Raw genomic sequence first — 15,856 nt, 5'->3', positions numbered from 1 at the left:
CTAATGGTTTTTAGTTCATGGAGGAGTAAACATAATTAATGATAGAATGATATGCAATGCTGCACATCCTTGCCAAAGCACAGGATCCAGCAGAAACTGTCTCCAAGTCTCCTCTCTCTGACTACTGAGCCAGAAGAAAGGGGCTCACTGTCCAGATACCACCCTGAGTGAGGGACAAAAGATTTTACCAAAAACCTGCTCATATGAAATTGCAGAGCCTGGAAATGCTTTCGAATACCAGGCTTTTCCACTGAAAAAAGTAACTACATGATTTTAGAGCATACATGCTTTTACAATTACATTTAAACTGACATTAAAAACAAATGTGAAACAGTCCAAGCTGAACAGGTCAGCATGACCTGGAAAGCAAACGAGAGAGAAAAAAAAGGAAAAAAAAAAAAGAAAAAAGATCCAATGTTAACAGCATTAATTCTCTCAGTCTGTTGTAAATAAGAAAATACGATTGGTGTATTAATGGCTTTATTAAGGGAAAATTTCACTAGTAGAAATATGCAACATTCAAACAAATAGAAAGTAGTTAAAAATAAACCTCATTAGCCTTTCAATCCACATTAGGGAACTTCTTGTTGGTCTGGAGATTAAAATTCTGCCCTGAGAAGGGGGAAACTCCCCTCCTGAAGTCCTTCCTTGGCTTTTCTCCAGAATGTTGCTGAGTCAGGGGAAAGAGAAAGAAGTGTGTGTGTATGTGTGTGTGTGTGAGAGAGAGAGAGAGTGTGTGTGTGTTGGGGGGGGAGAGAGAGAGAGAGCGTGTGTGTGTGTGTGTGTGTGTGTGTGTGTGTGTTTAGACAGACTGGAGAAGGTGGGAAAGACAGGCCCCAGGCAAGTCAGGGAGAGTCCTTCTGACTCTCACATGTGTGTTTCCCTGGCTTCACAGACTCCACTTCTCCACTAGAAAGAAACTGGTGTCAATATGGAAGCTATGGAGCAGAGAGAGAACAAGATATTCCAAACTCTAAGTGATTCTTCTTTGACATCAATACAATATTTGAGTCTGGCTTGGGAGAAGAATGAGAGGCTTACAACTGATGAAGAGAAGCATGTGATGTGAGAGAGCAATCAAGGAGTGTGGCTACAGTAAGGCTAGATGTAAGAGGGAAAGTCGGACTGTAGTCTCTCAGTGTGTTTGAAGAGAGGGGTTGGCTGGCTTCTTCTCCTGGAGAAGCAGAAATCTGGTCCTTGTTTACTGAACTTCTGTGGATCAGCTACTACCTTCAGCTCAGTGACAGGGCCTGAGGCTAAGATCTAGGTCACTGGCTGGGATCCAGAAGGCTAGAACCTAAGGGGGAAATACGAATTGCCTAATACACAAATAAAGATGGCCACAGGAACCTCAGACAGACACAGTTGCTTCTTGTCCAAGGTGACACCTTGAGTCCCATCAGCAAAGTTTCTTCCTGGCAGCACACCACGAAAAGCAAGCGACTGAGCCAGAGCTTCACTGCATCCGCCTGAGTCAGTGCCTGGCCCCCATCATATGTGATCAAGAACAATCAAAAAGCACTTTGCCAATGCCAAGCCACATTACAGGAAACAATAATCATGATACTCACAACTACATGAATGGTAACCACTATTACTTCTACAGCCCGTCCTCACAACATCCCTGTGAGGTAGGAAAACACTATTGGTCCCGCTGGAGGGAGTCAGCAATCAAGAGAGTAGCCCCCAACCCCAACGTCAAAGTCTGTGTTGAGGAGCAAAAACCTAAGCTCCTAAGCCTCAGACGCCAGGTTTCTCCAGACTATCCACTAGAGCCCTCTAGAGCCCTCATTTTGAATGAGGCAAGTCAGCCTTTCTTCAGGGTCTGGTCATTTTGAGATGCTTGCAATTGCCAACCCGGAATTTTTCTAGTATGAAAGAGAGACATTGTTGACTGTAGCAGTCTAAATACGGGCTTGTATCTAGCAGGCTCCATAATCAGATGCCTAAGACAGATCCTCTAACATAGGAAGCAGCATGTAAAGTTGGGGAGGTGGGCGGTTGCCATTTTTTACTGGGGGTTTTTCTTTTCCTATCCACTTGTAAGACAGAAGTGAGATGGGGAAATGGAAAATTGTTTACTTGGAGTTTTTTCTTCTTTTCTGCTTTATTGACAAATATACTATATATATACATATATATGTGTGCGTGCATCTCTCTGAACATAGTGGACAAGAATTGTGTGTATGTGGGGGTGGGGTGGGGAGTGAGAAGATGTAGGAGAAGAGAAGGGAGGTAGAATTTAAGTTACAGTCACTCAGAGACCAAGAAAGACTACTTGTTGGAGTCTGCTGAATTTCTTGCAGCAGCCAAACAATTGCATAATACTATAAGCATTATTACTCAGACTGGAGATGAGAATGCTTTGAAATTAATGTCTGTGTGCCTAACAGCTCACTAATCAAAGCTTCCATGCCTCATTTTCCACCCTGAGGAGAGTCATCAGTCTCTTTCAGTTTCATTGTGGCCAACATGACACTTCACTGCACAAGCTTGGGCTGGTGACTTTTCATCTTGGTCAAGATGCAGATTTTCTTCTTAGATCCAAATGCCAGTCCAAGTTTTCTGCAGGTGCTCGGTGCTTACATGTTTTTAATTGTTGACTGCTAGAGGGCTGAAATGTCCCTCAACAATCAATTTTTACTTCAACCACAGGGGCATTGGTTCCATGGGGTATTAAGCAAGGGAAAATATATTTCTATGCCTTGGTTGAGATCTAAAAAGTATCACAAGGTTGAACTGGACTGAGAAGAATGGAACCTGATTCCAAAAAAGGTGATGCAGGATAGCGATGCAATTTCCTGTTTACTTCCTAGATATCTGTTGTCACAGAAATATTAATAACAGATGAGCTGAAGGCTCTACCGATTTCTGGGTGGCTGCGTGTTTTTCCCTTAGTTCTACTTCTTAACAACGTGATCCCAAAAGATGTGCAAATGTCTCCAAAAAGCAGCTTGCTCAGGTAAGTTGTCTATGCATGTGTTCAGTATAAAAAGAAAATATTTTACATTTTTGTGATCTTAAGGAACACATCCCACAATCTGTAACAAGTGACACTCTTTTTAAATAATAAATAATAAAATGGTTTTAAACAAACAGGTTACCAACGAAAGTGAAGCTTTTTTCCTGAATTATTATTATTTGCAAAATACTTGCTTTTGTATATATGGCCTATTGTGTGCTGTGTACTCAGTTTTCTGCCTACTACCTTTGGAAAATATTGCCTATGGCATCATCTTGCTCTTTCAAGAGCAACTGAGGGATTTTGGAGCACTCACAGTAAAAGTAAACAACAATAAAATCTTTCTATTGCTATTACACTTTAAAAACTCAAGGATTTAAGTATAAATTTTACAAGGAGGTACTCATTCAAGTATCAGATATGCGGTATCATTAATTTTTATGATTAGAAAAATTTACTTCGCTCTAACCATAGTTCTCTAAGAGCAAATGCTCAGAGACAGAGTACAACATATATGTGCTATCCCAGATAATTTGGTTTGGAGGAATTAAGAGACGCAGTCTCTGTTTTTTCCATATGCAAATTCCCTTAAGAACTACAGTTAGAGAGACATAAAGCTTTTCCCCTCCAAAGTGTCACCAAATATGTATGTAACCAATTTAGGGATGACGATTTAGGTCATGGAGTGGAAATTTCAAGGGTTGTTTCAAGGGTAATTTACAGACCAAAGAACAAAGAAACAAGAACCAAAAGCCACACTGTAACAGCAGAGAGAGAGAGAACAGACCCCAGTGGTGACTGGGAGCACAAAGACCATTTTTCATCCACAAAAGAAGGGCTGAAGGGTACGGTGACATTGATTGTGTGCCTACTGTGTACCAGTTTCTCTACATACTTACAACAATGCCGTAAAAAAGATTTTATTATTCCCACAGTGTGGTTGGAGAAACTGAGGCTCAGAGAGGTCTGGTGATTTGTGCAAGGACATCAAGATAGTAAGTGACAGAACCAAGACTAGAAACAAGGCCTCTCTGTATCTGAGTCTATTGTACTATTTCCACTATACCACAGGACATCTTAAAACAAAAACCAACCAAACAAAAAAATCCCCAGAGTTTCAAAGTGCTGAGTCACAAGTTGCACATGTTGATGCCAAAATTTATAGAGTAATTCTGCTCCTTGGTGCACACCTCAGTTATGCAGATCAGCTAAAGCACTCAGCTATCAAAGAATTGTGGGTAGGAAGCAGCACTTCTCAGAAATGAGACTTCCCACTTGCATCACCAGCCTGAGGGTCTTTGGAATTCTAGTCTAGAGAATCAAAGGAGAATGGAAGAAATCCCAGTAACTGAGTTCCACGTTGTTAATTCTTTATGACACTCTGCTGCCTGCTGAACAGGAAGTAGAGGGGATTCAATCATTGGATGGTTTCTACAAATCTGTGATTTCTAGGCCTCCCACTTTAGCAATGAGGTTATGTGGTAGCACTGTGATGGGGTTCTGAGTAAATGTCAAAATGTTGGTCAGACAGTGTATAAAAGGACTATTAAATTCTACAGCAGAATGTCTAGATATTCAAAATATTAAATGGTCATTCTGCATGATGCTGGAAGTCACTATATTTCTTAGAAATAACTTCTTTAGCACAATCCTTAGGCCAGGAATATGTACCTGCAGACATTAGATAACTTGGGCAATAACCATGCTTTGGCCTAGGACAGTTTTGCATCCTATCCTTTGTGTATGACAACGTTGCAGACCCAACATAATTAACTTTAGTGGCATTAGTAGCTAATAGCATAATAGCATAATCTTATGCACCATGTGGTAAGGATGGTCTGCTTTTGATCATTAATGCATTATTGACTGATTCTTAATGACACACACATCTGCAAAATGATGACCTGAGCTAGAGGTATAGGTATTCTCTGCCTATAGGATAGAGTTTTTGTCTATACCCATGTTTTCGAAAGTGTATTCCAGAGAACAGTGGTTTTGTAGGATAACAGGTGTTATGTGAATAAATGAGGTCCTGTGGTTGAATCAACTTCGGGAATCCTGAGTTACAAAGCTCCTCGGTTACTTTACCGCAGTATTCACCAGGACCTGTGATATGCTAATAAGGATTGTAAATCTTCCTGAGCAGGACCATGATATGCAAGTTTCCCTCACTTATTTGACAATAGAAATCATATTTTTCATGGAACATGTCATGGAACTAGTTTTCTCAGGACACATACCAGTAAACACTGGCCTAGACCAAGGAAACTGGCTTTTGGTATGAGGGTAGGCCTCTTATACAAGCCAATTGCCTTGGTCTAAACCAGTACTTCTTCATATACGTGGTCAGTACTTGCAGGTAACAACCCAAATGGAGGTAACTACAAATCCTAGGTGTTTAGCAAAATTTGATGCTAGAAATTTCTCTCTAGCTGGCCTTCCTAAAATTGTCTCACTTTCTACAATTTAAACCCTCATCAACAAAACATTTGTGCTGCTGCCAGTTTTCTTTAAAGAAACATGCAAATAAACACAATGTCATCATGCCTATCCCATGCTCAAAGATTTTCAACTGCTTGAAGTCTAAACTACCTAGTATAATAACCAAGTTTGCTTTCAATGTGGTTTCAGCTTGCCCTTACCATTTCCCCAGCTCTGGCCATGTTAAACCAATTGCTGTTCCTCAAACCCTCAATGCATTTTGTTCATGTCTCTGTGCCTTTATTCAAACTGTACGCTTTACCTTAGATGTCCTTTTCCTTCCATCTCACCTAACTTCTTCCAAGTGATTTCTTATTTTTCCTTTATGGCTAAGGAATATTCCTCATTACTTCCTTTCTCCTCTTGCTCAAATTTTTGAGGAAAGGAATAGTATCTTATTCAGTTCTGCTTCCCCAAAATGCCTAGCAGAGTGTCTGGCACATAGTTGGTACTCAATAAATATTTGCTAAATGAATAAATAGGTGAGTAAATGGATGAAAAGATGAAAGCGTGAACTTCTTGGCTGGCTGGAAGGATGAATGGATAGATACATGGATGAATAAATGCTGTGAAGAGCCATGCCATGAATAGTAATTCAGCAGCGAAATCACTCTGTTGCATTCAGGACATGGGATCCTGAGGTAGCAATGCTGGGATGCTCTTGAACATGGGGAATGATGAGACAGCTGGCATCAGGGCTGTCTTCAACAATGGAAACTGCAAGGATGTTCATAGCGTCCATAACGACATCAGACCATGGCAATAGGCTCCTTGAGCCATCCTCTCAACTAGATAATTCACAGAGGTTGTCAAAACCTGTAGATATGTTAAGTTTTTATTCTCAGATGCAGAGTTCAGTCTCCTAGTAGGAAAGACACCTCTCAAATATGCTAGACGAATCTGTGAAGTAAATGCTGCACACCTCAGGTTCTCACATGGTCTAGGTCTCTGTGTTCCTTCTCTTCTTCTGGGGTTTGGCTGCTACCTGAAATTTCTGAAAGGCCTACTACCTTCCATGGTCCAGGAGAGGAAGGAATCAACAGGGACCAACACCATTTACTAAATGCTGAGAACTCAAGAGTTGCAAAACGCAGAAATAAATCATGTTTGGGGAGGAATAGGAGGAAAGTGGGAAGGAGGAAAGGGTCAGGGGAGAAGATGGCAGGAAGGGCACTTCTTTATTTCTCATTCCATCTTGGAAACAAGGAGTGTACCCTTGGAAAGTGCGGAGAAAAATGAGAAATGGCTTTACATTTATCCTAACTATGGACTGTGAGAAAGCCACAGCTAATTCACTGGAGGGAAGGTCCTCATTTGGACTTTTTTTGTAAGTGTTTTCTGAAATGAAAAGTAGTCAAGGGATTTAAATTCGTCAAGCAATTAACAATATGTGGTTTTCAAATGCAGCCAGGAATGAATCATCTACAAAGAAAGGCTGATCTCTGTTGTGGATGAGCAGCTGAGAGTCTGAAGGTAGTCTTTAAGGAAGCCATTCTGAGACTCCAAACACCCTCAAGATTCTTTCAGAAACAACAACAGCTGCTAGAAAAAAAAGCAAGAAACAGGTAGGTAGGCCTGGAAGCAGGAAAGAAAAAGCTATATCTATTAAGTATCTCTGAACTGAAGAGATTCCATCACCAAACAGTGAATGAAACACTATAGAGAAAGCCAGATTAAAGATCTTGAGGCCTCAAGACCAAGCAGCCATCAGCTGAAGAGTGCCAGCTTCTTTAAGATACAGAGACAGCCCTTCTGCCCTCCACTCTCTGAATAATCTGTCTAGTCTACTTTTAGACAGATATCTTAAGTAGGTGTGAATGGAGGTAGATACAATTACGATGTATCAAAGCACTCAAGTCTCACTATCTATACTTCTGGGAGCAGGGAACAGACAATCTAAGAAAGGGCTGAAAAACAATCCTTTCTGTGTGGCTTTTTACATAGAATCACAAAATGTTAGCACCAGAAAGGTCCTCGGTGAAGCCACAATTCCAGTTCTATGATGGGAAAACCAAGCATCAGAGGAGAGAAGGGACTTGCCCAAGGCCACATTCCTAGTTGCCATTTTGGAATATATTATGTAATTTTGATTTGAGTGATGGGAATCAGAAGATAAAATTATATGAATTCTTCTTCAAGGTAATCAATATGTCTATGCTAAATCCAAATCTGATGAAAATGGAAGTCTACTCCTTAAGGAATAGACAAGGGCCACTTTGAATTGACACTTTCTTTCTTTTCCATTGTTTGAGTAAAGGTGTGCTGTGCATTGAATGTGTAAGTTAACAATAAACTTGGGAGGGGGTTGTGTCAGTAGGGCAGGGAACGTGGAGATAAGTTCATTCAGCAAAATGGAAAGATTTGCTCTTCAAGCAGTGATTTAAGAAGGTAAACAATTGGGTTTTTACTGGCATGGTATTTGAACATAGCATATGATTCCCTTAATTACTAAAATTAGCTTCTGAACAGGATCCTGGTGGTACTTTTTCGTTTGAGGTAATCAAGAGTGTTTTCTGGCGATTCTCTGCCTGTTGGTGCTGTTACATATTATATGGCATACCAAGTTACTTAGGGTAAAAGCCATCGGGAAGTGCTGTGTTACAGACTTTCCAGCTAAATTACTAGTGACCTCAATGTCATATTAAGCCCCCATATTTGTCTAGCATTTTGCTATTTATCAAGGATGTTCACATTCATCATGTCATCTGATACTCATTATAACTCTATGAGGATGGTATTTCTAAATCAGAGATGAGGAAATTGAGGCTCAGAGGGGCACACAGTAAATAAAGGAGCTGAGCCTTTAAACTAGATCTGCCTGACTCTAAAGGCAAGGCCATTTACACAACATCAAGAATCCTGGTATCTTGTGAACACTTCCTGAAGTTTGCCAGCCTCAAGCTCTAATGCCTAGCATGGTGCCTTGTACATGGAAGACACTCAAAATATCATGGGCCTGCAACTGAAATGAAGGCCAGTCACAGCACTTCTCAGCTTGTCTTCATTGTGTTCACCAAGCCCACTCAAATTTGAGTACTATACCAATGAATCAATTTGAAAATGTACTGAAACATTGTCACCAACAAATTAATTTACAAGCCTGCATCTGACGGTTATATAGTATAGTGAAACTATCTGTTATACACAGGCTCCTTTTCAAAAGTGGTTCACTGTAATCACATCACAGGCTGCTTAATAATGGAGAATGTTGGCTGAGACATGGAATTAATGTTAAGATTTGCATCCAAATGTTATGAGGACTTTTGTTACCATTAAACTTTACCTGCATCAAAGTGGACTTGCAATTCATATTGCCAGATGGCAAGCCAAGAGGTTCCCTACTTGAGAGTCCCTATCTTTTATACTATACATAATTCACAGAAGGCTAAATAATTGACAGTTGAGTGTATAAGAACCCTCAACATGGGGCTGCAACATTCATATGGAGAACATTTTTTCTTGTCAATCACTTTGTCACCCTTCCTGCCTTTGCCTCTGTACTCCCTGACCCCAGTCCTACTTCTTCTCCACTGTAGACCTCAATTGTTGGATTTCTTTGGGGTGCACCAAGCAAACCAAAACAAGGTTGAGTTTTCTCAGATATCTGAGTCTCATTTGATGTGGATGCTTGGAAAGCCACTCACAGAACATCTACCTGTGATGTTTGGGAGTACTGGACGCTACTTGAGATGATTCTTTTGAAATTGTCTCTCATCCAGCCTGGGTCAATTCATGTGAGGTACTTTGTTCTGTTTAAATAATACTACTGCCCTGTGAGGATGGGGAGGATATAGTTATCTATATGAAGATCCACACATGGCCCTGCTCCAGGATAAGAGAACTAGTTGTTGTCTATAAATGTGCACATAGGCAGACAAGGTATTGAACACCTCACAGAAAGCCAGAGATAGACAACTGGTCTAAATTAGACTTAAGAGGAGAGGGGAGAGGGTTGGATTCTAGGCACTTGGGTTTTCCAGGCTAATAATGAATAATTGGGTATGAGGCTACAGTTGCAGGCACTCAGAAATAGGCTTGCCTTTCTTCAAATTCCATTTCCAAATCGAAGTGGATTAATGATCTTGTTTTTCTCATGAAAGACACATCTTTTTGGAAGTAGCAGGCAGCAGCGAGGACCCTGGCATTGGGCAGATGTAAACATGAAGAGATGGGGGAGTTTGGAGAGGGAAAATATAAGTCTCAATCAACTGATGTCAAGCCTTTCTGGAATGGTGACAACACTCATGGTAGACAGGTTTGTGGGACAGAGAGCCTTATGATAGAGGAACGCCCTTGAAAGAGCTGTATCTTCCATCTATCACGTTACTGTGCTACTGAAAAAAAATGCTTTTGGAAATGGTCAATAGCTTTGCAAAGAAAAGGAAATTATTAAAACACCTGCTCATCTTTGGGAGAGATAGGATAGGAAATTGGCTCTGTGTGGCAGCCTAGTCACAGGCTCCAAAGAGAAGTAGCTTCTCATTCGAGGTGGCTGGCCCTACAACATAGGCAGCAGTTAGCTAAGGGATATTCCCAGGTGTTCAGGATCAGCCTGTGCCTGGGTCATCCTGCGCCTATGCCTGGGTCATCCTGCACCTCTGACTGTTCTGGATTTCTTAGTTCTCTCATCCTAGCTACCACTGAACAACATCAGGCCAGTATCATTAAGTCCCCTGGGGGCCCTGCCCAGTCAGATGCATCCTCACTCACCTTCTGTTGGCTCCTGATCCCTGCTTCACACCGCCTGCTCTAATGCTGAGCCCCGGAATGGGGATTGGTATAGATAAGGATTAAAAAAAAGGCACCAGCTGGCTGATGGCCACGTTGCCTATGAAAGGGTCAGCCTGTGTCTAGAGCATGGCTGGTCCCCTTGGAAGCATCAAAGAAGAAAATCTGGTCTAAAGAGAGACTAGAAAATGAGGGAGAAGGGGGAGAGAGGAAGGAGGAGGAAGAGAAAGAAAAGTATCTTACCTCCCAGAGTCATCCCTGCTTCATAACATTTCCGAAGACGACAAGATGGACAATTTTTCCTTCGGAATTTATCAATAGTGCAATCATTTCTGCTGGCGCACAGGTACTTCTGTTTCCCTGGGAGAACAAATACAAGAGTTGATAGACCTGATAATGAGTTTCCAGAGTCTCTTTCTTCGGGTATTTCTAGAACAGAAAAGATATGAAATTATATCCTACCACATGAAAAAAGTGGACAGAGTATGGCACCAAACAATTTGATCATACAGAACCTAAATATTCAAACAGTTTAATTTGGCACTATATTGTTTGATTTCCATTGGTGTTTTTTTTAGGGATGAACAATTCAGATCCTGATGATATCTCCACTATTAGGACTACTCAATGGTTTTTAAAATAAGGTGCTCTACTTTTACCAAAAGTCAGAAATGCCCATGAGAAAATGATCCATTGTGGAACTTGTCACCCCTTTAGCATGGCGTAGAAGAGATTTGAACTCAGTCAATGTTTCTTCCTATTGATACCTGTAATCATGCATAGAATTACACTCGAGCTAATAAGATGCTTATTTTTCATAATATTAGTAGAGGAAAATTTCTACAAAAGATAACTCCATGGGATTTCTAACTGTTTTTAGATTGCTGGTGATCATACCCCCAGTCTTGCAGGTTATAAAAATCAGAGATAAAGCCCACTCTATGTAGTGAATCACAGCAAGTAAAAGGAAGTTCGATGAAGCCAACAGAGTAACAAAGATCACTGTCATGAACACCTGGAGTTGTCACAGATACATAGAAGCGCACACACATACACATGCTCAGACCTAGAGATCCTCAGAATTACAGCTGCTCAAACATATTTTGCTCAATACTTTGCTCCTTTACGCTAGCACAATCCTGGCACACAGCAGGCTCTCAGCAAACGTGGATTGACTGACTAAACATGTAAATATAGCAGATGGATGCATAGACACACAGAGTCACCAGCAGGAATAGGCAAAAATACATCCTTGGCTGCTCTGAAACACGCAGAACTTCTCATGCTTGCAACCGTGCTCCAGCTTCAGCTTCTGCATCCCCTCACTCCTTTCTGTCTCTAAGTCCCTGGTATTTTTTCCTCAAATTTATTGCTGTGCTTTGGCTTACTGGATAGACTGGGATTTTAGGGAAGCTTCTTTAAGCAGAGGAAGAATGCTTGTGGTCGGAAAAAGAAAGAGAAACTAAAGAGTGATTGATATTTGAGAGTAGAAAAAAAAACAACTAAAAACATAAATTTAACTATACATCAGCTTTCCTCTCCCTTTACTAAGCCTAAAAAGTGAAGATTAGGCACATAAATGCATCTATTATAGTAGGCTATTTTATGTAGTAGGTTCAGTAGTAACCAGGTCAGCAAAGAACTTCTTTTACTTAAAGTGCTACTTGCAAGAACATAAGATTAGTTTTATTGTAGTAAAGGATCCTTTTTCCTTTCCTCCTTTTTAACGTTTTATTTGTTCTTTTTCCTTTAATTTTCCTTTCTTCTTTCCTTCCTTTCTCCCTTTATGAAAGGATTCCAAAATGCTTGGCTTGAAGGAACTGTTAAAAATCACAACAGTACAACTCTCATTCCAAGGAGGAGTTCCAGGGAAGTGACTTACCTGAAGAAGCACACTGAATCGGAGGCCCCCAAAGGAAGAAAACTACTATTTATTGGGTGCCTACTATGAACCAGGCCTGTGTTAGGGGTTTTTAACATATGAGAAAACTAAGGTCTCCAGGCCAGTGCTCTTTCTAGCATACCACAAGATTTTATTTGCATAAATAGAACACATAATTTGCTAACAGCTTTATTTCTGTTGCAAACTGAGGACTACCATATGTGCACAGAAAGGACGGTGCTACGAGTGCTGTTCAGCCTTTGGGTGTTAGCTCCTCAAAAACAGGTCCTGTATCCAATTCTAGTGCGTTCAATTCCAATGTTGTAGCTGTTCTAGAACTGGTACACTCCCACAGTATTGGTACTGCTGCAATCATCAAGACCAGCTTGTTACATTGATTACTGAAATAAGCTTAGGTTAGAAAGTGCGTGCCTTCTTTGAGAAATCTCATCTTCCCCAGGAAAATACTTTCTTGGACCCTAGTTTGTCAAGAAATGGTTGCACCACCAATGGAATATGGCTCCCATAATAGTTCTAGATTGCCCTTCTGAAAGAGAATCACTCTGTGAATGAGAGAGGTTATAGCGGAAAAGCATGATTTTTTTTTTTTTTCAATTTGGAACTCGGATAATTTCCTTAGCATAGTTCACACCTTTTCTCTGGGTACCTCTTGGTCTAAAACAAGGCAACCTAAAACGTAGATATTCTTTACAATTTACTCAGGAGTAAGTGCAAAAGCCCAGTACAACCAAAGCCATGACATATTAATTTAACATTTACTGATAATCTATTATGTGCAAGGCCCTGCATTGGATATTGAGGTTACAGAGGAAAATCTCTAATGAACAAAAATACACAAATCCCAGATGAGAGAAAGAGCAGTGGGCTGGAAGCCCCAACATCTGAATCCTTGTTCAGCCTTATCACTAACTCACTATATGACCTTGGACAAGACCTTTTGCCTCTCTGGGCCCCATTGATTACATGAGATAGATTGGACTGGAAAGTCATTAAAATCTTTTCCAGCTCTAAGAATCTTGAAGGATGTCTGGATTTCTTCTGCAATATATTTACAGAGTTTTTTTTTTTTAATGTAAAGGACTTAAGTATTACTGGTAAGCAAGAAACTATCCAAAATAATAGTCTCTTGTCCCTGTATTCTGTCTTTTTAGGATAGTAACTTATTGCAACATTGTCTCTTACATCTAGAATCATTTAGTCTCTTGTCTTTGTTCTCTAAAGCTCTCCCAAAACTCAAGGTAGTTAACATTGCCTTAGAAAGGCACTGATGTTGCCAGTCACATGCAACATAAGCATAAACATGCTAATGTACATGTGTGTATTCATGTATGTGTGAGTGCATAGGTGTTTGAGTGTGACTGAATAATTAACACAGGGAATACAACACCCACACACTGGATTTTGGAATTATCTGTGCATATGTGGGTGATCACATAAAGCATAAAACACACCAAAACATACAAATGGGTACACATGACACATGTGTTCCTTCAAAGCAGAATGAGGAATTTAATGTTTGAAATGACACATAATAGTGACAGAAGTGGTTGAGGATTGCAAAGATGGATATGAAAGGAATCTTTTTTCTGTAAGTCCTAAAAATAAGACCTTATTTATCTGTACAATTTGGTTTAAGGACAAAGATAGGGGATGGAACAGGCAATCTCTCAAGACTGCTTCCAAGTCACTTCTCCTATCTGAATTATCACTTCCCCAAATGATGGTAGAGCCAAGGTAAAATCATTGGGATGCTATTATTTCTTTCCTATTATTTATTCAATTTCTCCAAATATATGGATGAGGCTATCAGAGTTCTTAACAGTAACAATAATCACTCTCATTTGATTAGTTTACAAAGTTTAATAATAATCTGCAAGGCCAGGTGCAGTGGCTCACTCCTGTAATCCCAGCACTTTGGAAGGCCAAGGTGGAAAGATTGCTTGAGCACAGGAGTTTGAGACCAGCCTGGGCAGCATAGTGAGACTCCGTCTCTATAAAAAAATGAAAAAAAAAAATTAGCTAGGTGTGGTGGTGTGCACCTGTACTCCCAGCTACTCAGGAGGCTGAGGGGCTAGGATCCTTTATGCCTGGGAGGTCGTGGCTGAAGTAAGCTGTGATTGTGGTACTGCACTCCAGCCTGGGTGACAGAGTGAGACCCTGTCTCAAAATAATAATTAAATAATAATAATAATCTGTGCAAAGTAAGTATAACAGGGATTATTATATACTTCATTCTATGATGAAGAAAATGAGGCTCATTAATATGAAATTGGCTAGGACTTCCAGTACTATGTTAAACAGAAGTGGTGAGAGTGAGCATCCTTATCTCATTCCTGGTCATTGAATATAATGTTAGCTGTGGGCTTGTCTGATATGGCCTTTATTGTGTTGAGAAACATTCCTTCTAATACCCAATTTCTTGAAAGATTTTATCATAAAATGATGTTGAATTTTGTCAAATTATTTTTCTGCATCTATTGAGATGATCATATAGTTTTTGTCCTTCATTCTGTTAATACTATTGATTTGCATATGTTGAACCATCCTTGCATTCTAGAAACAATACTAGTCTTTATCACATCCTTGGTTTGCTGCAAATCACAGTCCATAAGGTTACAAATCTCAGATTAGTTGGAAAGAATTTTTAAAGACTTTTTGGTTGTATCACATCCATTCCTCCATACAAGGCTTGAATCCTCTCTGCAGCATCCCTGCAAAGTATTGTCCTATCTTTTCTTGAATACAGCCCATTTTACCTCTGGACTGTGTTATATGTCCTTTCCTTCCAGGAAACTCACTGTTTCCTTTTAGCTCTAACCCATTGGGCCTAATTAGAAACACAGAATCATTGGGCTGTAAAGAATCTTAAAATGTCCAATGTGATGCCTGACACTTCACTTATGAAAATGGGCACAAAGTATTGAAATTACATGCCCCAAGCCACAGCAAGTTGGTGTTAGTGCCAGCACAAAAATCTGGAAAGTGGATCCAAAGGAAATATGGTGTGGGTGATTATAGTCTGAAGACAAAGCGTTCTGAGTGTGGCAGAAATCTTTTCTCTTTGTCTAGGAAGCATATGGCCTTGTGGATCCCTTCTCTGTATTCAAGTGACAGAGAACTGTGTAAATGGGATGTAATCCTGCTGTAAGGTGGTTCTAGAAGGTCCTCTATAACCTAAGAGACTGAAAAATTAACACAGGGAATACAACTTCCTAGGCAGCTCCCCCTCCTCAGATATTACAAACATTATACCCAGTTGTTTGACACTGTTAATTTCCAACAGCAAAGTTGTATCCACAGTCTATAATGAAGGGCTCACTAAAAGTCATTGTGAAATGACTGACAAAATACAAAAATCTTCTCATGTTGAAGTAGGTAAGGCCACACTCTAGAGCTGCAAAGAAATCACTCATTGAAATGCATAATAACTGTCTTATTAGAAAAATCTTAAACCCTTGACTACCTAAATAGTCATAAAATGGGCTGGCATGAGGTCCACTGCATGCCAGCTGGCTCTGAAATTCTTGACTGTCTGATGTTGCTCTGTGTCTTTCTTCATAGTCGTATCCTTCCATCATAAAACTTAAGTATGATTCAAAGGCCATGAGACAGCTTTCAAGTTTGTTTCTCTGTAGGATTTCTTCCTATTTCTGTTGTTTTCTGTCAGTCCCATTGGTGCTGCCATGCAGTATGGCTTGGGGTTAGTGTCTGATTATGATTCTTTTAATTTGTTCATTCTGAAAAATCCTGTTTGGAACAGAGGAGGTAAGGCAGAGAAGTTA

The 15,856-nt window shown here is 40.1% G+C and overlaps 1 protein-coding gene across 5 annotated transcripts in view; it reads right to left on the bottom strand.

Moving 5' to 3' along the window:
- Positions 1-15,856, bottom strand: part of AR (androgen receptor) — a 186,599-nt gene that overhangs the window by 34,079 nt on the left and 136,664 nt on the right. For 2 of the 5 annotated variants that reach the window (NM_000044.6, NM_001011645.3), the window contains one exon: positions 10,415-10,531. In NM_000044.6, coding sequence (NP_000035.2) covers positions 10,415-10,531 — 117 coding nt within the window. Of the gene's footprint in view, positions 1-465; positions 1,869-6,782; positions 6,986-10,414; positions 10,601-15,856 lie in introns of those variants that run through there. The other 3 variants (NM_001348061.1, NM_001348064.1, NM_001348063.1) reach the window with 3 other exon arrangements.

Source organism: Homo sapiens, chromosome X (assembly GCF_000001405.40).
Source record: "Homo sapiens chromosome X, GRCh38.p14 Primary Assembly".
Lineage (NCBI taxonomy): Eukaryota > Metazoa > Chordata > Mammalia > Primates > Hominidae > Homo > Homo sapiens.
This window is presented reverse-complemented; position numbering and strand designations above follow the sequence as displayed.